The 25,093-nt window shown below is 42.1% G+C and overlaps 3 annotated features.

The window, feature by feature from the left end:
• Nucleotides 3,268–3,357: an enhancer, noted in NCBI's record as "active region_28454". NCBI's record gives its function as "activates an Ori minimal core promoter by ATAC-STARR-seq in GM12878 lymphoblastoid cells {active_cell/tissue: GM12878}" and the evidence as "EXISTENCE:reporter gene assay evidence [ECO:0000049][PMID:35858748]".
• Nucleotides 3,894–4,442: an enhancer, noted in NCBI's record as "H3K27ac hESC enhancer chr9:74409234-74409782 (GRCh37/hg19 assembly coordinates)". NCBI's record gives its function as "activates a minimal SCP1, AML or CMV promoter by ChIP-STARR-seq in primed H9 embryonic stem cells {active_cell/tissue: H9 hESC(primed)}" and the evidence as "EXISTENCE:reporter gene assay evidence [ECO:0000049][PMID:30033119]".
• Nucleotides 4,443–4,992: an enhancer, noted in NCBI's record as "H3K27ac hESC enhancer chr9:74408684-74409233 (GRCh37/hg19 assembly coordinates)". NCBI's record gives its function as "activates a minimal SCP1, AML or CMV promoter by ChIP-STARR-seq in primed H9 embryonic stem cells {active_cell/tissue: H9 hESC(primed)}" and the evidence as "EXISTENCE:reporter gene assay evidence [ECO:0000049][PMID:30033119]".

The raw sequence follows: 25,093 nt of genomic DNA, 5'->3' as shown, positions 1-25,093 counted from the left end.
TATCAGGCAGTATGCTAAGGGCTTTGCATGCATTGTATAATTAATTCTTTCAGCTACTTCAAGAGATGAATATTATTATCATTCTCATTTTACAGATGAAGAAACTGAAGCCAGAAAGTTTAAGTAGCTGGTCCAAGCTCACTTCACTTATAAATTATGGGGCTGAAATTTTCACCTAAGCTTAGAGAGGCATATTGATCATAAAAGCACGGTTTGGGGAGAAAAACGGAAGGGCATATGGGCCAAGAGGTGGTTGAAATAACCACTGACTTCATTCCTTAAGGCTAAATATGCTTTTATTTATACAAAGCTTCTAAGGTTTGAAAATAAACAAGAGAGACTGAAATAATAAGTGAGGTGATCAATATGTTAATCGACTTGATTTATTTATTTCATTGTATACATATATCAAAATATCACACATTATACCCCATAAATAAATTTATTATTTGCCAATTAAAACATTTAAAAGGCTGGGCACAGTGGCTCATGCCTATAGTCCCGGCACTCTGGGAGGCCAAGGAGGGAAGATTGCTTGAGTCCAGTTAAGGACAGCTGGACAGCTTGGGCAACATAGTGAGACCTCATCTCTACAAAAATAAATAAAACTCTTTGGGCATGGTGGCACATACCTGTACTCTCAGCTACTCAGGAGGCTGAGGTGGGAGGATCATTTGAGCCCGGGAGGTTGAGGCTGCAGTGAGCCGTTGATTGTACCACTGCATTCCACCCTGGGTGACAAAGCAAGACCCTGTCTCAACAACAACAATGGCAACAATAACAGCAACAACACAATTTGAAAAGAGAAAACAAGTGAGACTAAGATGAACCATAAACAGGCGTTAGTTTTATTAGTATTGGGTAGCTGACCAAAGTATTTGCTGTGCTGATACATAAATAATGCCCTATGAGAGGATTCTTTTCTGCTGTGCAAATCAAATTCAAGAAACGTGCCAGAAGAAACAGCACAGTGTAGACTGAGTTGCACAGTAGTTCCTTCGCAATGCTGAAGTGGGTAGAGTAGACCAATTTATTGATTTATTTTTAGACAACATGTTTATCTTTTTGTATTTGTGCTTTAATACAGTTAAGAGAGCCAATAAATAGTTGTCATGGGTAGCCTGGTTTTAGGTCTAAAAGTCTCACAGATACACATATCTTATCTCTTGATTCATTTTGACCTGATAGCCATGTCAGGGATTTTTTCCCATGTGAAGCTACTGAAGTGAAAATAGCTGTATATCCTGTAGACACTTGGAGGGCTGTGATTCAGGGGAAGAATCTTCCCATTTCCTCCTATGAAGAGATGGAAAGAGGAAGGCTTGCATCTCATACAGAAGCTTTGATGGATTACTCATCTCGTGCTTTCCTTGGTGTCTGTCCTTGGGACATTTTTTCACATCAGGTCAAAGTCAAAACCAACAATCACACAAAGAAACTAACAGAGACAACTACATAGATGAACATCCTTACTTTTCCTTTATAAATCTTTTAGAAATGAAAAATACTGAGATTATAAACCACCATCCCCAGTAAAAATTCTCAGCACTGAGGCCCTAATGGGCTTCCCTTTGATGCAGGGCAGGTAAGCCCCAAAGCTGGGGCTTAGCCAGCGAGAGTTCTTGCCTTGCCTTTGCCCAGGAAAGAATTCAAGAGCCAGCTGGTCATGTTAGAAAGCACCTTTTTTTTTTTTTTTTTTTGAGACAGAGTCTCAAAGGCTTGGGTGCAGTGGCATGGTCACAGCTCACTACAGCCTCAACCTCCCAGGCTCAAGTGATCCTCCTACCTCAGCCTCCTGAGTAGCTGGGACCACAGGTGCATGCCACCATGGCTGGCTAATTTTTGTATTTTTAGTTGGGACAGTATTTTGCCATGTTGCCCAGGCTGGTCTCAAACTCCTGGGCTCAAGTGATCCGCCCACGTCAACCTCTCAAATTGCTGGGATTACAGGCATGAGCCACTGCGCCTGGCCTAGACAGCAACTTTTATTGAAGCAGCAGTGTACAGCAGCAGCAGAGGTACTGGTTCTGTGGAGAAGGCCACCCCACAGGCAGTGTGCCCAGAGTGGCAGCTCAGAGGCAGTTCTGCAGTCATAGTTATACCCACTTTAAATTACATGCAAATCAAGGGGTGGATTATGCAGAAATTTCTAGAAAAAGAGTGGTAACTTCTGAGTCATTGGGTCATTGCCATGGAAAGGGGCAGAAATCTCTGGGTGTTGCCATGGCAATGGTAAACTGACATGGCACTCTTGTGGGCATGTCTTACAGAGAGGTATTTTTATCTCTTCCCTGTTTTAGCTAGTCCTCAATCTGGTCCAGTTTCTGAGCATCACCTCCAGAGTCCCACCTCCTATCTCACCTTGTAGACAACATTTCACATGTGTTGTCACAACTCATTGCTGGAGGAATCAAGCATGTCCTTTGGGACTCTACTGGGAGGGGACTGTACTGGGAGGGGACCGTACTGGGAGATGGCTCTTGGAAGCTTGTGCTTGGTTACTTCTGGACCTCGCCCATGTGCCTTTTCCCTTTGCTAATTTTTCTTTGCATCTATTTACTGTAATAAATTTTAGCCATGAATGTCATTATATTTAGATTTCTAGCAAATCACTAACCTGGGAGTGGTCCTGTAGATCCCTGACACAGCCTCCTTTACTAGATTTTTCTAAGTATTAAGTGTGATTATATTGGCATTATATTATAATAATAAGTAATTAATAATAAACACTAATAAATGAAAGATAGCAAAATTACCTTATGATAACATGGAAAACTTGAGTCATATGCTAAAGGACATGAGATGGAAAAAGAGCATTAGCCAAGCCTGAAATTTTCTGCACATTTTCCAAAGTGGATTTTTAAAAAATAACCGCAAATAAGTGCAGAGCTTTTTTTTACACTAGAACAATTAGGATGCCTTATTATTGTCTGAACTCTTCTGCTTGCTTGAGTCAATGAAAACTTTACACATATTGGCTAGATATATTCTCAGATATCTTCTGCATGTAAGCAAAGGGGAGAAATATTGTGCCGTTCTGAGCCTTTGAGAAAATTTGCCTTACCCACTTCCTGTGTTTAAAGAAAGGCAATGTATTAATATCTGGCAAGAGCACATTTGAGATCGAGACAAGAAGACAACAGGATGTACTTTCTTCTTGTCAAGATAGAACTTCATGCCTGGCTAATCAACTAGAAAGTCTGATTTTTGCATGCCTCAGGAAAAAGCAATCATAGGTGGTTTTGAGAGGAGGGTTCTCTAGTGTTTCCTTCCCTCAGAGCCGAGATCTTACATGTAAATTGATGCACTTCTTCCTGGGGCATCCAGCTTTCAACCACCTTCACATTATGTTTAGCAAAAATAGATGAAAATTTGTAGCCATGTGCATATTTTGATTACTGCTCCCGCTCATATACTCAGTGACATGAAAGACTGCCAAGCTTACATAGGACCTAGCGCAAGAAAAGGCTCCGCAGCAGGTCTGGGCCCTGTCGCTTGGGCCATATGATCCTGCAGATACACTTGCATTGGAGGTATCAGTTATGAGAAAAGATGCTATGTGTTCAGTGTGCAGATAGGTAGATTAAAAAGAGAGAAAGATGCTATATGGGTTTTGTGGCAAGTGCCAGTGGAAGAATCACAACTCAAGGCCTTGGGAATCTGGAGCAAGGCTATGCCATCTCTGGTGGAGAATCACATGCCTTTGGAAAAACTACTCCTACCATGCTACAAGGCTCTGGTAGAGACAGAAAGCCTGCCAATGGTTGCCAAGTGACCAGGCAGTGAAACTTCTCATTGTGATCTGGGGCAAATCAACCAAGTTATAAGATAAGGGGACACCAGCAGGAATTCATCCTAAAATGAAGGTGCTGCCGGACTGAAGAGAAGCAGGACCAGAGGGCAGAAGTAAGCTGCATGAGCAGCAGCGCAGACTGCCAATGTACCTACCACTGTTTTCCCATTGCTGCGCCCTCATAGCTGAATGGGGGATTCTTCATTGCAAGTTGAAAAAAGAGAAATTTGAGCTTGCTTTGTAGATTGCTCTGCCCTATGTATGAGTGCAAGCTGGAAGTGGATGGTAGCTTCTCCACAGTCTGCTCAAAGGTGGTCTTGAGAGACAGTGGCAGGGGAAAATCCTCCCAATAGGCAGTGCTTTGAGGAGGGCACTTGGCTAACCACTTTGTGTGGAAAGAGAAGTAGCTTGAGGTTAGGATATATACAAACTCATGAGCAATGGCAAATGGTCTGGTCAGCTGATTTGGGACTTGGAGGGAAAAAGATTGGAGGTCTAGGGGAGAGGGATGTGGATAGACATACGGGAATGAGCATAAAGTGCATAAAATGTGAACATCCACCAGAGAGCACCCTCAAAAGAGTCACTAAAAACCAAGTAGCCAAAATGTCCTAGCCAGTTGACTGACAGACATCTCTGTCATTGGCCACCCCAGTGTTGGCATGATAGACACACGAATCAAGTGACCGTGGTAGCAGAGATTGAGGTCACTCATGGAACAAGCATTGTGGATTCCCATTTACCAAGACTGCCACTACAAAACGTGCAGCTGCCAGCAACAGAGACTAGGGAAGAAGTTGACTACATTGGGCCCCTTTCATTCTGGAAGGGCCAGCAGTTCATTCTCAAGAATAGAAACATTTTCTGTGTCTGGATTTGCCTTTTCCTGAATTCTGGGCCTCAGGCAGAGCCGCTGTGGTCTGTATCTCAGGACAGGGCTCCCAGGCCAATGCATTCTTCCTTGTTCACTGCATTCTTTCCTGGCCAATGCATTCTTCCCAGGCCAGTGCATTCTTCCCAGTTCAGTGCATTCTTCCCAGGCCAGTGCATTCTTCCCAGTTCACTGCATTCTTCCCTGGCCAGTGCATTCTTCACTGTCAGACCCTGACATAGCTGGTAGTTAGAGACTATCTATTGACTGCAAGCCTTAAAAGGCAATCTGGGCAGTGGCACCACTGTCTACTATCCAGAATCAGCTTTTTTCTTGTGTTTTCTCTCCCATTTCCCTCCAGTACTCAGGTTCCCACTGTCTCTCCCATTCCTTTTTCTCTTTCCTGAAAAATCTTAGCCTGCCCTCCGGCCAACCATCTCCAGAGCTAAGTGCAAGAGAGTAATGGGAGAAATATTTTTGTCCCCATCTTCTTTCCTTTAGTGATTGCCAGGTCTGAGCTGGGTTAAGATTTAACAGGAGCTGAGTCAGGCTTCAGTAATCATTCTTTCTGTTTGCATAGCCCTTTGCAGTTCTCAAAGTTCTTTCAAATACAGTTTTGAATTTTACTTCTCATAACTTCTCTGTGAAAAGTTTAGCATTATTTTTCATCTTATGAAGAATCTGAGGTCCAGAGAGGTTAAATGACTTACCCAATCTATACAGGTTTTTGTTGTCAGACCAGGTCTTCTGAATCCAAGTCCAGGGCTTTGTTGGCTATATCTTAGCTACTATCCCTACCTTGCAGTGGGAAGATTGAGGAAAAGACAAGAAATTACTTGCACAAAAAAGATAAGAGCTAGGCTGGTGTGGTGGCTCACGCCTATAATCTCAGCACTTTGGGAGGCCGAGACGGGTGGGTCACCTGAGGTCAGGAGTTCGAGACCAGCCTGACCAACATGGTGAAACCCCATCTCTACTAAAAATACAAAAATTAGCTGGGCGTGGTGGTGGGCGCCTGTAATCCCAGCTACTTGGGAGGCTGAGGCAGGAGAATCACTTGAACCCAGGAGGCAGAGGTTGCAGTGAGCCAAGATTGCGCCATTGTACTCCAGCCTGGGTGACAAGAGCAAAACTCTGTCTCAAAAAAAAAAAAAAAAAGCTAATGTTGAGTGGGGTGATTGCTGACTGGTTTCCAGGACCTACCAGCTGGATGTTCGTAACATACTGAATGGAAAGAACTGGACTAAAGAACGCGGTTTTATCCAAATAATTTTTGTATCTATGTCCTTTTCCTAGAGCCACCAAAAATCACTGGTTACTATCTGGAAATGGAAAATAAGCATTCTTTCCTGTCCCTCAGCCTTCACTGTCCTCCTCTGACGGTCTTCTCTTCACATAGCACCAGAGTGACTCTTCATAAAACATAAGTCAGATCATGATACTCCCTTGCTGAAAGCCTTCTGATGGCTTCCCACAACTCCTAAAAGACAACTTTTTTTCTTTTTCTCTTTTCTTTTTTTTTGTCCCACATGGATCTACCTTTATTTCTTGTGACAAAATATAACATTTATGCTTTTTTTTTTTTTTTTTGAGACAGAGTCTCACTCTGTCTACCAGGTTGGAGTGCAGCATCGCGATTTTGGCTCAATGCAACCTCCACCTCCCAAGTTCAAGCGATTCTCCTGCCTCAACCTCTGGAGTAGCTGGGACTACAGGTGCCTGCCACCACTCCTGGCTAATTTTTGTATTTTTAGTAGAGAGGGGGTTTCGCCATATGGCCAGTCTGGTCTTGAACTCCCAACGTTAAGTGATCCACCCACCTCAGCCTCCCAAAGTGCTGGAATTACAGGCGTGAGTCACCACACATGGCTGAAGACAATTTTAAGCCCTTCCTGTGGCCTGCAAACCTTTACATGGTTTGACCCCAGGATACCTCCCAGCTATCTCCCTACTCCGTTGCTCACCTACCTCCAACCACAGCAGACTCCTAGCTGTTTCTCAAACACATGGGATACATTCCTTTTCCAGAGCATTTGCAATTCCTTTTTTTTTTTCTTTTCCTGGAAAATCCTTTCCCCAGATGCTTGCACCGCTCATTCCTTCACTCCATTCTGGCATCTGTTCAAATGTCTTTCTCAGTGAGGCATTCCCTCACTGCTCCCTGTCACGCAGCCTCCTGGTTGCTCTCTTTCTCTTTACCCTGTTGTATTTTTCTTTTGGGCACTTATTACACTATGACATTATGTAACGTAATTATTTGTTTATTGTCTTCCTCCCCCTACCTCAACAATAAAGTGAGCTCCACATGGCAGACACTGTGTCTATTTTGTTCTTTGTTATGTCTTCAGCTCCTGGAATGGGGCCTGGCACACAGTGAGATTTCAATATAGACTTGTTGAATAAATGAATACATCTTTAGTTTTATTTCTTCCATTTCTTTGTGAGGAATCATGGACTCTTGTCCTTAATTCAACTCTTGGGATTGTGGTGAATTATTTATTCTGAAAGGTATTGTTATAACTCAAAGTATTTACCAAAAAAAATATTAACTTCCAGCCTCTTCCTTCTAATTGGAAGTATCCAGTTACTTCAGCTCCATTCAAGGTAGTCGGGATCCTCTGTGTCAAAGAGGAATACATGGGCTTGACCTCCAAAACATCCATGGCCAGTTCTGCCTGTCATTACCAGCTCCGGTCATCTCTTACTGCAACTTATCTTAGGAGTCCTTAACATAGAGTTCATGAACCTCAATGAAATCAAAGGACGGACTCTGGGGTCTCATGAGTCTTCTGAATATGCCAGAATATAGTGCTCATTTTTTCTAGAGGGATGGGCCCTAGCTTTCTTCAGATTTTAAAGAGGCCCCGTGCCTTCTATAGAGGCTAAGAACTCCTCAAATAGTTGTAATTGTCACCATTTACCACACCTCCATCCATTCTTTGAAGCCACAAAGCTGGGTGAGAGCATTTTATGATAGAAGAGTATTGACTTGCCGGGCACGGTGGCTCATATCTGTAATCCCAGCACTTTGGGAAGCTGAGGTGGGTGGATCACCTAAGGTCAGGAGTTCCAGACCAGCCTGGCCAACATGGTAAAACCCTATCTCTACTAAAAATACAAAAATTAGCCTGGCATGGTGCCTGTAGTCCCAGCTACTTGGAAGACTAAGGCAGGAGAATAGCTTGAACCTGGAATGTGGAGCTTGCAGTGAGCCGAGATAGTGCCACTGTACTCCAGCCTGGGTGACAGAGCTAGACTCCATCTCAAAAAAAAAAAAAAAAAAAAAAAAAAAAAAAAAAAAAAGAAAGAAAGAAAAAAAAAGCATATTGATTGGACAGAGGTTCAGAGGAGCAAAGCCCTAAAGTTCTCCTTTCTTTCTCTAAGAGGGTGTTACAACACAAAGAAATATGATTACTGTCAAAGTTGGCTATGAATACTAAAGGATGAAAACCTAGGGTCATTCTAGCAATCCATCTCTCCTTCCAGCCATCTCTAGTCATTTAGAGAATAATATGTGATGTATGTTCATAAATATTTAAGCATATCTATCCATCCATTCATCCAGTCATCTGTCCATTCATCTCTACATCCATCCATCCATTCCTACATTCCTACATCCATACAAAAAAACTCCCTATTGCAAGTATTTCTCGAATGAATCAGACACATTCTGCTTTCTTTTCAAATTTGAATCCCAGTGGTATAATTCCATTGCCAAGTCCACTGTTGTTCTCTTGTGTTTTATTTATTTATTTATTTATTTATTTATTGAGATAGTCTTACTCTGTCACTCACTGTAACCTCCGCCTCCCAGGTTTAAGTGATTCTCATGCCTCAGCCTGCCGAGTAGCTGGGGTTACAGCCATGTACCACCATGCCTGGCTAATTTTTGTATTTTTTTGTAGAGATGAGGTTTCACCATGTTGGTCAGGCTGGTCTCGAACTCCTGGCCTCGAGTGATCCACCCGCCTTGGCCTCCCAGAGTGCTGGGATTACAGGCGTGAGCCACCTCACCTGACCTTCCATGTTATCATTAATGGAGTTCTGATCTTGGAAATTAAGAATAATGCTTCCACAGTTAGGGAGACCAAGGCAGGTGGATCACTTGAGGCTAGGAGTTTGAGACCAGACTGGGCAACATAGTGGGACCTGGTCTGTACAACTTATGTTTTTTTTAAAAAACATTAGCTGGGCAGGGTGGTGCCCCTGTAGTACCAGCTACCCTCCAGAAGCTGAGGTGGGAGGATCACTTGAGACCGAGAGGTTGTAGTGAGCCACGATCACACCACTGTACTCTGGCCTGGGCAATGAAGTGAGACCTTGTCTTAAAAGTGAAAAGAAGAGAAAAAGAAAAAGAAAAGAATAATGCCTCTAGTAACAATTTCAAAATACTGTCCAACACACTTTGTTTCCTTTTTTGAGACAGGGTCTCCCATGCAATCCAGGCTGGAGTGCAGTGGTATGATCTTGGTTAACTGCAACCTCCTCTTTCCGGGCTCAAGCGATCCTCCCACCTCAGCCTCCTGAGTAGCAGGGACTAAAGGCATATGCCACCACATCTGGCTAATTTTTGTATTTTTTGTAGACATGAGGTTTTGCCATATTGCCTTGGCTGATCTTGAACTCTTGGACTCAAGCAATTTGCCCACCTCTGCCTCCCAAAGGTGGGCATTCCTGCCACCTGCAGGAATTACAGGTGTGAACCACCATGGCCAGCCCCAACACACTTTTGATGGTGGTTAATATTTATCAGTGAGAGTCAAAATAAAAATATTTTTGCTTCTTGAAATGAAAATAACTTTATTTTTCCTGTTTAAGAATTGATGTAAAAATTCACACTTTACTAAGATTTTTTAAAAAGTCAGTTAAAACCAATTCTAGTTTTGCCTAGATGGCATCACTAGTGATATTTTAGTAATTTCTCTCTAGACATTTTTCTGCAGTCACACACACCCATACACATTTACTTTTAGAAAAATGGGATTATATTATACATGCTATTTTAGAATTTGCTTTTCTATTTCATATATGATTAGTAAGTTTCATTTAACATACATTTACATCATTTAATGGCTACAGATAATCTATTGTATTGATAAAATGATTTTCTTTACTTCTCTTTTCTTTTTTTTTTTTTTCTTTGGGACAGAGTCTCGAACTGTCACCTGGGCTGGAGTACAGTGGCATGATCTTGGCTCACTGCAACCTCCATCTCCCAGGTTCAAGCAATTCTCCTGCCTCAGCTTCCCGAGTAGCTGGGACTACAGGCACCTGCCACCACGCCCAGCTAATTTTTTGTATTTTTAGTAGAGATGGGGTTTTACCATGTTGGCCAGGCTGGTCTCAAACTCCTGACCTCGTGATTCACCCTCCTTGGACTCCCAAAGTGTTGGGATTACAGGCGTGAGCTACCGCGCCTGGCCAACAAAATAATTTTTAAAACAACTTTCCATGACGGGATATTGAGATAATTCCCCTTCCCCTATTATTATAAACATTGTTGGGTGAACATCCTAGTGCAAAACATCCATGTTGACTTCTTCAAATATTTCCTTTGGATACAGTCTGTGTCTTGTTCTCATTTTCTATAAAATAAGGAGTTGAATTGGATGATCTCTAAGGTTTCTTCGAGGTACTAATTCAATTCTGGAAGATAAGTTAAATTTGGTTCTCTTGCTTTTGTATATACATACCTTGCACATCCTAGATAAGAAAATATTTATGCTATTCTAAAAATTAAAAATAAACAGTCGGGTGCGGTGGCTCATGCCTGTAATCCCAGCACTTTGGGAGGCTAAGGCAGGTGGATCACTTGAGGTCAGGAGTTCGAGACCAGCCTGGCTAACATGGTAAAACCTTGTCTGTACTAAAAATACAAAAAATTAGCCAGCTGTGGTGGCATGTGCCTGTAATTCCAGTTACTTGGGAGGCTGAGGCAGGGAAATTGCTTGAACCAAGGAGGCAGAGGTTGCAGTGAGCTGAGATTGTGCTACTGCACTCCAGCCTGGGCAACAGAAAGAGACCCACTTAAAAAAAAAAAAAAGATAAACAGACCCAGGGCTGTGGCTCATGCCTATAATCCCAGCACTTTGGGAGGCCGAGACGGGTGGATCACCTGAGGTCAGGAGTCTGAGACCAGCCTGGCCAACATGATGAAACCCTGTCTTTGCTAAAAATACAAAAATTATCCGGGCTTGGTGGCATGCACCTGTAATCCCAGCTACTCAGGAGGCTGAGGCAGGAGAATCACTTGCACCTGGGAGGTGGAGGTTACGGTGAGCCGAGATCACGTCATTGATTGCATTCCAGCCTGGGTGACAAGAGCGAAACTCCGTCTCAAAAAAAAAAGAAGATTAATTAATTAATTAAACAAAAGAAAAGCCAGACTTTTAGAGATCACTAGAGATTCTCTTGGTAGTAGTTTTGTTTTGTTTTTGAGATGGGGCCTCACTCTGTCACCCCGGCTGCAGTGCAGTGGCACAATCACAGCTCACTGCAGCCTTAATCACCCGGACTCAAGCAATCCTCCCACCTCAGACTCCCAAGTAACTGGGACCACAGGCACACAACCATGCCTGGCTAGTTTTTAAAAAAATTATTATTTGTAGAGATGAGGTCTATGTTACCCAGGCTGGTAATATGTTTTAATATCGAATTATAGCTATCAGTTACCTTTTGCCAAGCTTAAACCTGATATTGTCATGTAAATTTATTTAACAAATTTCACTTATTAGCAGAGCATGTCTGAAACTCCTCCTGGAGAATATACTTTATGTATACTTTCACGGCTTAACAGTTCAATTTTTCTCTATTGCTATAAAAACAATTTTAGTTATTCTTGGAAAAGAGAAAGGTTGTATTGACAAAACCTTGCAATTATAAGATAGAGTTATGAGTTTTTCTGCCTAAATTAAGGGACATTGTACACAACCACTGTCCTGTCCTGTTCAACATTCATGTCACAAAAGACAGAAAGGCTGAGGAACTGCTCCAGATTAACAGGAACTAAAGAGACATTACAACTAAATGCAATTCCTGAATTCCGCTTGGGTCTTGAATTCTGGATTTTGGGAAAATTCTATAAAGGCTATTGTTGAGCCAACTGAGTTTGAAATATGGACTGTGTGCTAAATTTTCTGAATTTGATGATTACGTTGTGGTTATGTTAAAAAAATTCTGTTTCCAAGAGTTACACGCTGAAGTATTTAAGTGTTAAAGGGAGTGAAGTCTGCCATTTATTTTCAAATAGTTCAGAAAACAACAACAACAACATATAACTGTGAAGACAGACAGAAAGAGATCAATTTAGAAAAGTAAATGTAGGCTGGGCACCATGGCTCATGCCTGTAATCCCAGCACTTTGGGAACCCAAGGCAGGTGGATTGCTTGAGTCCAGGAGTTCGAGACCAGCTTGGGCAACATGGTAAAACTCTGTGTCTACAAAAAATACAAAAATTAGCTGGGAATTTTGGCATGTGCCTGTAGTCCCAGTTACTCAAGAGGCTGAGGCAGGAGGATGGCTTGAGCCCAGGAGGCAGAAGTTGAAGTGAGCTGTGATCGTGCCACTGCACTCCAGCGTGGGCAACAGAGCGAGATCCTGTCTCAAGAAAAAACAAACAACAAAAGTAAATGTAGCAAAGCGTTAACAACTGATGAATCTGAGTGAAGGGTACACGAGAGTTTTCTAACTATCCTTGCAACTTTTGTAAGTTTGCAATAATTTCAAAAAAATGAAAAGAAAAAAATTTTAAAGTCTCTTTTAGAGCACATTTAACTTTTCTTTCCAAGTGGTGTGGAGTGGGATATGATCAAAGACAATTTTAGCTGTTAAATTTCAGTCAAATGTGAGATGAGACCCTTTCCACAATTTATGACTCTCATATACCACATTATCTGTTCAGTGAAAGGGAATGAATGAAGGAAAAGATAAAAATGCAAAAATAAAATAGACAAAGGCATTCAAGTGAAAAATAAAGAATTAGTGACTGTCTTCTAACAGATTAACTCCGTACTAAGAAAAATTTAACTAATAAAAAATAGAATAGTAGACACCGGGTGCGGCGTCTCATGCCTGTAATTCTAGCACTTTGGGAAGCCTAGACGGCTGGGTCTCTTGAAGTCAGGAGTTTGAGACCAGCCTGGCCAACATGACAAAACTCCATTTCTACTAAAAATACAAAAATTAGCTGGCGCATGCCTATATAGTCTCAGCTACTCAGGAGGCTGAGGGACAAGAATCTCTTGAACCTGGGAGGTGGAGGTTGCAGTGAGCCGGGATCATGCCACTGCACTCCAGCCTGGTGACAGAGTGAGGCTCTGTCTCAAAAAAAAAAAAAAAAAAAAAGAATAGTATAATGAACACCCACTTATCCATAACCTAGAGTTAACAATTGCCAACATATTACCATATTTATTATTTATTATTCATGTATTATTTTTTGCTAATGTATTTTAAAGTAAAGATGTTGCCAGGTATGGTGGCTCAGGCCTGTAATCTCAGCGCTTTGGGAGGCCGAGGCAGGAGGATTGCTTGAGCCTAGGAGATTGAGACCAGCCTGGGCAACATAATGAGACCCCTGTCTCTACAAAAATTACAAAAAAAAAAAATTAACTGAGCATAGTGACTCATGCCTGTGGTCCCAGCTACTTGGGAGGCTGAGGTGGAAGGATCGCTTGAGCTTGGGGGGTTGAAGCTGCAATGAGCCATGATTGCACCAGTGCACTCCAGTGTGGGTGACAGAATGAGACCTCATCTCAAAAACGAAAACAGATGTCATGATCTTTTGCCCCTAATACTTCAGTGGGAACATCTAAAAACACACATTTTTTTCTTCTTTTTTAAAATTTATTTTACTTTTAAGTTCTGGGAGACATGTGCAGAATGTGCAGACTTGTTACATAGGTATACATGTGCCGTGATGGTTTGCTGCACCTATCAACCCGTCATCTAGGTTTTAAGCCCCGCATACATTCGGTATTTCTCCTAATGCTCTCCCTCCCCTTGCCCCCCACCCCTGACTGGCCCTGGTGTGTGAAGTTGCCTTCCCCGTGTCCATGTATCCTCATTGTTCAACTCCCACTTATGAGTGAGAGCATGAGGTGTTTGGTTTTCTGTTCCTGTGTTAGTTTGCTGAGAATGATGGCTTCCAGCTTCATCTATGCCCCTGCAAAGGACATGAACCAACTCTTTTTTATGGCTGCATAGTATTCCATGGTGTATATGTGACACATTTTCTTTATCCAGGCTATCATTGATGGGCATTTGGGTTGGTTCCAAGTCTTTGTTATTGTAAATAGTGCTGAAATAAACATATGAAAACACATATTTTTTAAAAAAATTTTTTCTTTTTTTTTCCTAAACAATTATGTGGATTAAAATTTCTTTTCTTTATATAACATCATTAATATTCCTAATATAGTTTGGATACTTGTCCCCTCCAAATCTCATGTTGAAATTTGATCCTCAATTTTGGATCATGGGGGTAGATCTCTCATGAAGGGCTTTCTGCCGCCCTCACGGTGGCAATGAGTGACTTTTCCCTCTATTAGTTCCTCTGAGATATGATTTCTAAAAAGAGCCTGGCACCTTCCTTCCCTCTCTCTTGCTCCCTGTCACCTTCCACCGTGAATGAAAACTGCCTGAGGTCCCCACCAGAAGCAGATGCTCAATGCCATGCTTCTTGTACAGCCTCTAGAAACATGAGCCAAATAAACCTCTTTTCTTAATAAATTACCCAGCCTCGGGTATTCTTTTATAGCAACCCAAAATGAACTAAGACAATAGCTAACAAGATTAACAATAATTCCTTAAAGCACCTGATTCCTTGTCCATATTGAAATTTCTTCATTTGATCCCAAATGTGTCTTCCATTGATCCACTCAGATAAAGATCCAGTCAAAGACTACATGTTGTACTTGATTATTGTGCATTTTAAGTCTCTCGTGGTCTGAAACAGTTCCCTTCCTTGCTCTGGCCTGTAACTATTTTCCTCTTTTGACCAGCAAATAATCTGTGGTGGCAGGGTGGAGAGGGTGTCAATACAAAGTTTGACTAAGGTTGAGTATATATAACATGGGCTAATCATACAAAAATATTTTACTTATTTATTTATTTATTTTTGAGACAGAGTCTCGCTCTGTCACCCAGGCTGCAGTGCAGTGGTGTGATCTTGGCTCACTGCAACCTCCACCTGCCAGGTTCTAGTGATTCTTGTGCCTCAGCCTCCCGAGTAGCTGGGATTACAGGCATGTGCCACTGCACCCAGCTGAAAAATCTTTTATTTAAACGCCACTGATGTTTGTCTTTCCTAGAAACAAACTGAATATGAACATGGAAGTCAGTATTATTTTTACTATTTTCTCCAGCAGAATGACTTTACCACTCTCAACTTGTGGTTAGCACGAGATATTACATCTAGATACTTCCGAAGGCAGAGGGGAGCAAGAGAAGAAAAGTCATATTAGGACCTAATAATCCTCTTGTTCCCCTCAAAATCCAAACCCCAAATCTAAATCGGTGATACCGACTTTTAAAAGCAAAGCTGCAAATAGGTGATGTGGGTCCCCTCTCCCTCCCCCACTCCAAACAACTTGAGCCTTGTGTAAGCAGCTGCCAGACCTGCCCCGGGGCAAGGAAGAGCATGCAGCAGGTCAGGACGGTATATGACATGCTGGCACAAACACCCGTTGTCCCACCTCCACCCTTTCCACCCTCCGTGCGTCAGCTCCCCTGCAGCACATGCCGTGAGCAACTGTGCTGCTGACAGTGTTATTTCCTGTCACGAAATGAAATGTGTAAATGAAAGTACAAAAGAATGGAGGGATGACTGGTGGCCCTGTCACACTGGTGACACCTAGGGCCTAGCTGTAGGAAACATGTCTGGCTGGCTGCCCCGCCTCCTCACGCCAGTGCTTTTCCCAGCCTGAGCATCTCCATCTCTCAGTGATATGCTGTCCAGGCTTGGAACATTCTGCTCCTTTGGCCACTCCAGGTGTGGGCATCTCTTGCCTCCTGTTTTACATTGGTTTTTCAGTCTGTCACAGTTGAATCCCTTTAGCTGTTCACACTGTACTGAGATTATGGGCCCATGGATCTCTGTGCTGGAAGGGATGTCATTGGCACCAGCACCCACCCAACAAATAGTGGAATGTCCTTGTCACTATTGCTTATATGCAGTTGGTGAAGTGGTTAAGAGCAAAGACACCCTTGGTTCACATTCCTGGCACCTACTGGCTATATAATCTTACACAAATTACTTAGTCGCTTTTAGTTTCCTCATTTGTAAAATGTGTGGATTGGCAGGATGAATATCTATCTGTAAAACACACACAGCAGTGCCTAGCTCATAGCAAGCATTCTATAAGTGTTGCTATTTGCATATACCTGTCCAATCTCTTCATAAACACATCCAGGGATGTGAAGCTCATGAAGCTACCTTTACAAGGAAGCAAGCTCATAAAACAAGACATTTAATCTTTGGTGAATTCCAACAATCAGATACAGCTCCTTATAGTGTGTGATTATTATAGGGAAAGAAGGAAATGTGTTGCCAAAAATATACTGGGCCTTGTGGAAGATTTTTGGCTACATTCTTGTCACCTTGTGGAATTATTTATTCCCATTTTATCAATTTGCATGTGGCAAAACTGAAGCACAGAGGATTTGGGAAATTTGTCCAGAGTCAAACAATGAGTAGATGGTTGAGTCAGGATTTGAACTTGGGCTTTTTAGACTCTAGCATCTTCAAATATTGGAAGATAGTAGTCATTTTCCAATGAGACTTTAGTTTTTCACAGTGGTTGGCACATAATAAGTTATCAAATGATAGATATTGTGATCTATTTGTTTGTTTTGTTTTTTGAGACAGGGTCTTGCTCTGTCACCCAGGCTGGAGTGCGGTGGCACTATCATGGCTTACTGTAGCCTCAACTTCCCAGGGTCAAGGGATCCTCCCACTTCAGCCTCCTGAGTAACTGGGACCACAGGCGTGTGCCACCACGTGAAGCAAATTCTCGTATTTTTTGTAGAGATGGGGTTTCACCATGTTGCACAGGCAGGCTGGTTTTGAACTTCGGGCGACCTGCCTCGGCCTTCCAAAGTGTTAGGATTACAGGCATGAGCCATCATGCCTGGCCATGACTGTTAGTTTCTATAATACTTTGTATGTTGTCAAGGCCCTTTTGAACCATCCCTTCCTGCATACAATATGCATTTATTCGAACCCTCCATCAGATGCTTGGCTTAGGCTCTTCTTGGTCATGGCCAGGATGGAGTGCTCCTGAAGCAGCCTGTTTCATTTTGGATAGCTCTTATAATTGGCTTTATTCATTTATTTATTCAATGAATATCTAATGAGAGCTGAGATCTCAGTATGTCAAGCACTGAGCTATACACTGGGGATACAATGGGAAATGAAAACAGCAAATTCTTCAAAAGAGTGAAACATATTTTGCATAGATTGATCTTCCACCTACTGCTATCACTTCTGCCCTCTGAAGCAACAGAAACAAAAGGTTAATTTGTGCTCCCCACAATAGCTCTTCATATATTTGAAGATGGTTTTTCAGTTTCCTGTGTGACTAAGATTTTTTTTCTCCAGGCTCTCCTTGTAACAGTAGTATTTTCTTTAATACTGCAGATGATCCAAAGATGATGAAAGAAAATAGGTCTTATTTACTTTTTCTGAGACTCTGTTTTCTTATCTGTGAAATGAGGATAATTATACCCAACAGATGATATTGTATTACTTGTCTGAAACAGAGTAAACATGTCTGTGCATTAGTGTGCATTAACAACATTAAATAACTTTAACTATGCAAACGTGTACTATGTATTCTTATAAATGGGTCAGATTGACTAATTTACTGCGTAACCACTCTGTGGGGGTAGGTAATGAATATTCTTATTTTACAGAGAAGACAATGAAAGCACAGAGAGGTTAAGTGACTTGTCCAAGGTCACACAGCTAGTAAGTAATACAGCTGAAACTGGATCGGAGACAGCATGGCTTGAGAACACTGGTTGAAAGTCATTTTTATACTAGAAGGGGCTGAATGAGGGAGAAGAGTCAAGTGTTCAAAAGGTAAAAGGTAAATTAAAGTCCAAACTTGGAGTCTCATCTTTCACCAGTGGTATGTATCAGCTACTATTTTAAATAATTACCTACAGTTTGAAATTCAGTCTCTCAGATTCACAGTCTGGATATCTGGCCTTAAATGGGGCTTCCTTGTTCCCTGTTTGCAGCATCCAGTCCATTTAGCTCCCGCCTCACATGTTCTGGCTCTCTTTATATCCCAATGTACAGTTATTGGCAGCAAATATTAGTTAGTATTTTTTCTCGACACATCATTTGTATGTTTCTTTCACTGCTTCAAGTCACAGCTTACAAACGTATCTTTTCACTTAAGTGTGGTTTTCTTGATATAGTTTGGTTTTTAGCTATTTACCACTCTAAATTTGTCTGCTAAACAGGGAAAGCATAGTTTCAACTTAAATCATAAACAAAGGGATAATTTTCTTTCTTTCTTTCTTTCTTTTTTTTTTTTTTTTTTTTTTGAGACAGAGTCTTGCTCTGTTGCCCAGGCTGGAGTGCAGTGGTGCGATCTTGGCTCACTGCAGCCTCTGCCTCCCGGGTTCAAGTGATTCTCCTGCCCCAGCCTCCTGAGTTGCTGGGATTACAGGCACACACCACCACACCTGGCTAATTTTTGTATTTTTAGTAGAGACGAGGTTTCACCATGTTAGCTAGGCTGGTCTCGAACTCCTGACCTCAAGTGATCCACCCACCTCGGTCTCCCAAAGTGCTGGGATTACAGGTGTGAGCCACCATGCCCAACTGATAATTTTCTTAATACATATAGAGCTTTTACAAATCAATGAGAAAAAGAACAACAGCTATACAGAAAAATGAGCAAAGAATATGAACAGATAGGTCATAGATAAGGAACTAGAAATGACTCTTGTAAATGTGAAGAGATTCCCTCAATTATTACTGGAGAAACACATGTTGAAGTTCTTATATCACTTTTTCCTATGACAAAGATAGATATTTGTCTATATTTATTTCTAGAGATGTATATATCTGATTATATTCACTCAGGTGAGGCAAGGAAAATAGATACTGTCGTATATTGCTCTTGGGAAAACACATTGGCATAACCTCTGTGGAAGACTGACAATCACCTATCAAAATCCTTTGTTTAGGTCAGAGTCTCTCGACCTTGGTTCTTGACATTTTGGACTAGATGGTCCTTTATCCTGTGCATTGAAGGATGTTTAGCAGCATGCTTTGCCTCTACTCACTAGATGCCAGCATCCCTCCCCCAGAGTGTGAAATTAAAACTGACTCTAGACATTGCTAAATATACTCTGGAGGACAAAATCACCTCCATTTAAGAAGACGGGCTGGGGCCGGGCACAGTGACTCACACCTGTAATCCCAGCACTTTGGGAGGCCGAGGTGGGCAAATCATTTGAGGTCAGGAGTTCGAGACCAGTGTGGCCAGCATGGTGAAACCCTGTCTCCACTAAAAATACAAAAATTAGCTGGGCGTGGTGGCATGTGCCTGTAATCCCAGCTACTTAGGAGGCTGAGGCACGAGAATCGCTTGAACCTGGGGGGCAGAAGTTTCAGTGAGCCGAGATTGCGTGCACTACACTCTAGCCTGGGTGACAGAGCGAGTCTCTGTCTCAAAAAAAAAAAAAAAAAAAAAAAAAAAAAGAAGATGGGTCGAGATTTTTTATTGCCGCATACCAATCACCCCAAACTTAGTGGTTTAAAATAACCACTCTTTTATTTGCTTATATTCTGAAATCTGCACGGGGCTCAGCTGAGCATATCCTCTGCTGTTCTTGCCAGTGGTGGGTCAAATGGCTGCATTTATTGGTGGGGCAGGTGGGGCTAAACTCAGCTGGGATATTGAGATGGCTGGCTCTTCTCTGTCTGGTGTCTCTGGTCTTCTTTTCCCACACATGGCCTCTCAGTATAGTAAAAACTGAAGGCACAACACTGTCTCCATGTGGTCTCTTCAGCAGGTTAGCTGGCTTTAACATGACAACTCAGGACTTCCAAGGACACAACAATGAAAGCTGTCTGGCCCTCTTAAAATTGTTGCTGATTTTTAACTAAGTGATTTTTCTATGTTTTTGTATAAAGTGGAGAGTCTGTCTGGAAAATTATTGGACCTTTATAACTTCTTTTGTTTTATTGTGGTATCTGGATAACGGTAGCTCAAGCAGAAATTATGCAAAAAGTTTGCCATTGGCATCTGCTGGGTCCACAATGTTTCAAGCCTTGATTCTCTGGTCCTCAAGCCTTAACCTGCCCTGATCCTTCCTTTTCTTTTTTCTTTAGACAGGGTCTTGCTCTGTCACCCAGGCTAGAGTGTGGTGGTACGATCATGGCCTCATTGCAGCCTCAACTTCTTGAGGATCAGGTGATCCTCCTACCTCAGCCTCTTGAGTAGCTGGGATTACAGGCATGTAACCCCACGCCTGGCCAATTTTTTGTATTTTTTGTAGAAATCTCACCATGTTGCCCCGGCTGGTTTCAAACTCCTGGGCTCAAGCTATCTGCCCGCCTCTGCCTACCAGAATGCTAGGATTAGAGGGATGAGCCTGCACCTTGCCCAGTCTCTCTTTTCTCATCATCATAACTTATCTCACTTTTTAAATTCCTGTCCTCAAGGTCAACATTCTTTAGATGTTAGCTTAACTATCACTTTCTTGGACACGTCTTTCCTGACCACGTCACCTTAAATAAGCTTTTTCACAATCCTGCTCCAACTCGTGTGCAAGTGCTTTTGAAGCCTGTGCTTACATCACGCTTCTGTTGTTACAGTGGCCAAAGCAAGTCACATGGCCAAGTTCAGAGTCAATGTAGGAGAGGACCTTAGTAGAATGTAAATATTGGGAAATGTGGCTTATGGAAGGCCATCGATGTAACTTTTATCCCACTTATTACTCCTAATTTTGTTTATTTCCCTTATTACTGTCTGTATAATCATGTGTTATTATTATTTTTTTCCCCTTGGCTCACTGCAACCTCTGCCTCCTGAGTTCAAACGATTCTCCTGCCTCAACCTTCCGAGTAGCTGGGACTGCAGGCGCGTGCCACCACACCCGGCTAATTTTTTATTTTTAGTAGAGTCGGGGTTTCACCATGTTGGCCAGGCTCGTCTCGAACTCCTGACCTCAGGTGATCTGCCCACCTCGGCCTTCCAAAGTGCTTGGATTATAGGCATGAGCCACCGCACCCGGCCGTGTTATTACGTTATTGGTTTATTTGTCAGTTTCCTTTTATTAGGGGTCCAAACCCCTACTAAATTGTAGGGGCTTTGCTGTCTTATTCAGCTTCCAGAATCTATCAGTGTTTGCTACATAAGACAACAATAAATATCTGTAGAATAAATAATTGAGCTCTGAGTTTTCTAAGCTGTGTTCAGCTCATCTACAAAAGACCCTGTGTTAAGACAATCATGGAAAGGGTTGACATTCCTTCCCTTCTTTTTAAAGCACCGTGTGTATTTTCACAATAGTTTTCTGAAAACAATGACTCAATTTAATCATGTAGAAAATTCTTATATCCAAATGGACTATAAAATCAGATTTTTCTACTTTTGTCATGAATGGCATTTTTCCATTGTATTCTTGAAAACAAAAAGTAGTTGATGATTTCTGTTAGTTTGTTTACATTATTTCAAGTAATTTTTTTCCAGCTTTATTGAGCTGGAAAATAATTGACAAAAGTATAATTGACAAAAGTTGTGTATTCAAGGATACAATGTGATGATTTGATATATGATACATTTTGAAATGATTACCACAATCAAATTAATCAACATATCTATCATATATGTCATAATCCAGTAATCCTGTTTATCTTTCAAAATAGTCTCATGTTCATCCCTTACTTTTTAAAAATTTTAGACATGGGGTCTTGCTTTGTTGCTCAGGCTGGAGTGCCATGGTGCTATCACAGCTCACTGCAACTTTGAATTCCTGGGCTCAGCCTCTCAAGTAGCTATACTACAGGTGTGCACCACCAAACCTAGCTAATTTTTTAGAGTCAGATTCTCGCTTTATTGCCCAGGCTGGTCTTCAACTCCTGGCCTCAAGTGATCCTTCTGTGTTGGCCTCCCAAAGTGCTGGGATTACAGGTGTGAGCCACTGTGCCCAGCTCATGTTCATTTCTTTAGAGAGAAGTGTAGAAATTGTCCAAAAAAAGATTTGTGTAATTGAGCTGGATTGATGATAACTTTTGACATGTTGTTAATTGTGTATTTTCAAATCCATGGTGAGCTCAAGTTTCCTAAAGAGCTCCTTTGTCATCCAGGTGGCCCAGAGGCTTCGCAGGGATTTATTTATTTTTTCTTGTACTTTAGTAAGTTTGTAATAATAACTATGGAAAATTTAGAAAGCTTTGATATAATATACTTTGGGGGAATTTTGACAGCTATGTATTTATGCATGTAAGGTACTCCTAATCTTGCTTTTCCTTTCTGATTATGTGCCTTTGAAGATTACACAGGATCCTGTCTTTCTAGGCAGAACAGGTTAATACTTCTTTGCTGGTTGCCTGGAAGGAACAGGAAGGAAGAGATAAAACCTTGGAGATAATGCATGATTTCAGGATGTTGGTATTATTTCAAATTAAAGTCTATATTCATAACCAGGTTTCTCAATTCTTATGCAAATTCACTATATCAACTCTTCTGGTACATATCCATATGTGAATATAATGAAAATACACTACATTTCTTGTGTGTATTTCTTCAGTTTACACAGATCATGTAATCCTCATCCAGCAAATTTATAAGATATTAGTGGTAATACTGCATATATTGTAGACATGCTATGAGCAAATCTTTTTTTTTTCTTTTTTTTAGACAGTCTTGCTCTGTCACCCAGGCTGGAGGGCAGTGGCACCATCACGGCACACTGAAGCCTTGACCTCTGGGCTCAAGCAGTTCTCCCACATCACCCTCCTGAGTATGTGGGACTACAGGCACACACCACCAAATTTGACCCAGAAAATCTTTTTTCTTTTTTTTTTTTTTGGAGACAGAGTTTCACTCTTGTTGCCCAGGCTGAAGTGCAACGGCTTGATTTTGGCTCACTGCAACCTCCGCCCCCCAGGTTCAAGTGATTCTCCTGCCTCAGCCTCCTGAGTAGCTGGGTTACAGGCGTGTGCCACCATGCCCAGCTAATTTTTGTATTTTTAGTAGAGACGGGGTTTTACCATGCTGGCCAGGCTGATCTCGAACTACTGACCTCAGGTGATCCACCGGCCTTGGCATCCCAAAGTGCTGGGATTATAGGCATGAGCCACCGCACCTGGCCTCAACACAGGAAATCTTAATCCACAATAAATTACAGAAGCAACTTCATTCTAGCTAAGTGACTTCAGGCAACTCATTTCTCTTTTCAGAGACAGTGTCCTCAATTGTGACATGAGAATTAGGGGAATGTTTTTGGGTCTGGGTGCCAGCAGCAAAGCACAACCACTTACATAAAGATGGCTACAGAGCCCCCCCCCCAAAAAAAATACCAAGTTTATATAACTTACTATGCAACAGTGAAATTTATGCCAATTTTGAAGATGTTAGATGGGAATCAGGATGGGATATCACTTTTTTCCAGAAAGTGAAAGTTATGTTTTTGAATGAGAAAAAGAAAAATTTAATTCCCACCGATTTAATAGAATTTAAAATAAAATAATTAAATGTTTTTCCCTTCTCTGACAAGACTGCATCAGAAATTTGGCTATACTGGAACAGAATTGCTTACATCATAATTTAAAGCAAGTGTCCAGAGAGTTTGACAGGAAACATGCAGCCTTCATTGCGAGCCTATGAAGTGTGAGAATGAGGCTGGTTGGACGGAAGGAAATAAAGAAAGCACAGATGGTTTTGTAGACACGCAGCTGTTACCACAGCAAAGAAAGGTCACACTAACATTCTGTAATGTTATTGCAAGGGGTCAATGGGAGGAAAATTTTTCTAAGACTTTTAATTAAGGTGTGGATGGCAAACAGTGTATCAACACCTTACTAGTGAGGCATTAGTCACCTGCACATCAGTCTACACATGTACACTGAGTGCAAAAGGAGCAAATATGAACAGAAAAACATGATTTAAAGATGACCTAGGCAGGGTGTGGTGGCTCACCCCTGTAACCCTAATCCTTTGAGAGGCCGAGGCAGGTGGATCGCTTGAGATCAGGCATTGGAGACCAGCCTGGGCAACACGGTGAAAACCCGTCTCTACAAAAAATACAAACATTGGCTGGGTGTGGTGGCTCATGGCTGTAATCCCAGCACTTTGGGAGGCTGAGGTGGTGGATCACCTGAGGTTAGGAGTTTGAAACCAGCCTGGCTAACATGGTGAAACCCCGTCTCTACTAAAAATACAAAAAATTAGCTGGGCATGGTGGCAGGCACCTGTAATCCCAGCTACTCGGGAGGCTGAGGCATGAGAATCACTTGAACCCAGGAGGCAGAGGTTGCAGTGAGCTGAGAGCATGCCATTGAACTCCAGCCTGGGCAACAAGAGCGAAACTCCGTCTCAAAAAAAAATAAATAAATAAAATTAGCCAGGTGTGGTGGTGCACACTTGTAGCCCCAGCTACTCGGGAGGCTGCGGTAGGAGGATCAAGCTGTAGTCCCAGCTACTAGGGAGGCTGAGGTGGGAGGATCACTTGAGCCTGGGAGACTGAAGCTGCAGTGAGCTGTGATTGTGCCACTGCACTCCAGCCTGGGTGACAGAGCAAGACCCTGTCTCAAAAACAAAACAAAACAAGACAATACAAAACGCTATCTATTCAGACCCTTATAGAATAAAGCACAGTTTGAAGGAATTAATTTCTAACAGCCTGGGGGAAAACAGAAAGGGGAAGAGTGGGTGATGGTGAAGTGAGGTTCTGTCTTAGTTTGGAGCAGGAGAGTGCAAAACAAGCAGAAACCTGGAGCTGCAGAACACAGAGGTGCACAGACTCTTTCCATATCACGGTGTTTGGTCCCCTCCTCTCTCCTAAAGCCTCTGCTGACTCCTTTGTTGCCCACTCAGGGGGCAGTATCACTCATCAAACACTGTGCTAGGCCCTGAGGATTTGAAGTTGAATAAGGCTGTATCTTCAATCTCTAAATCTTCAGGTGCCCAGTCTACCAGCTGTAGGGAAGTAGGCAGGATGGGAAGGGCTGTGAATAAAACCCGCTAAATAACTGCAATGCGGTGTGGTCAGGGTTGCGGCAGGTGTGCGTATGGAGCCATCGGAGCCAAGGGGAGGCCATGATGACTGGCCTTGGAATGTTTCACAGAGAAGGTGAATGTGTGTGTGTGTGTATGTGTGTGTGCATGTATATATAAATATATATACATATATACACGTTAGGGACATTGACCCTCCCATACCCAGCCAGCTTCCATGGATA

The sequence above is a fragment of the Homo sapiens genome, chromosome 9 (genome assembly GCF_000001405.40).
Source record: "Homo sapiens chromosome 9, GRCh38.p14 Primary Assembly".
Lineage (NCBI taxonomy): Eukaryota > Metazoa > Chordata > Mammalia > Primates > Hominidae > Homo > Homo sapiens.
Note: the sequence above shows the minus strand (reverse complement) of the source record. Positions and strands in the feature narration are given on the sequence as shown.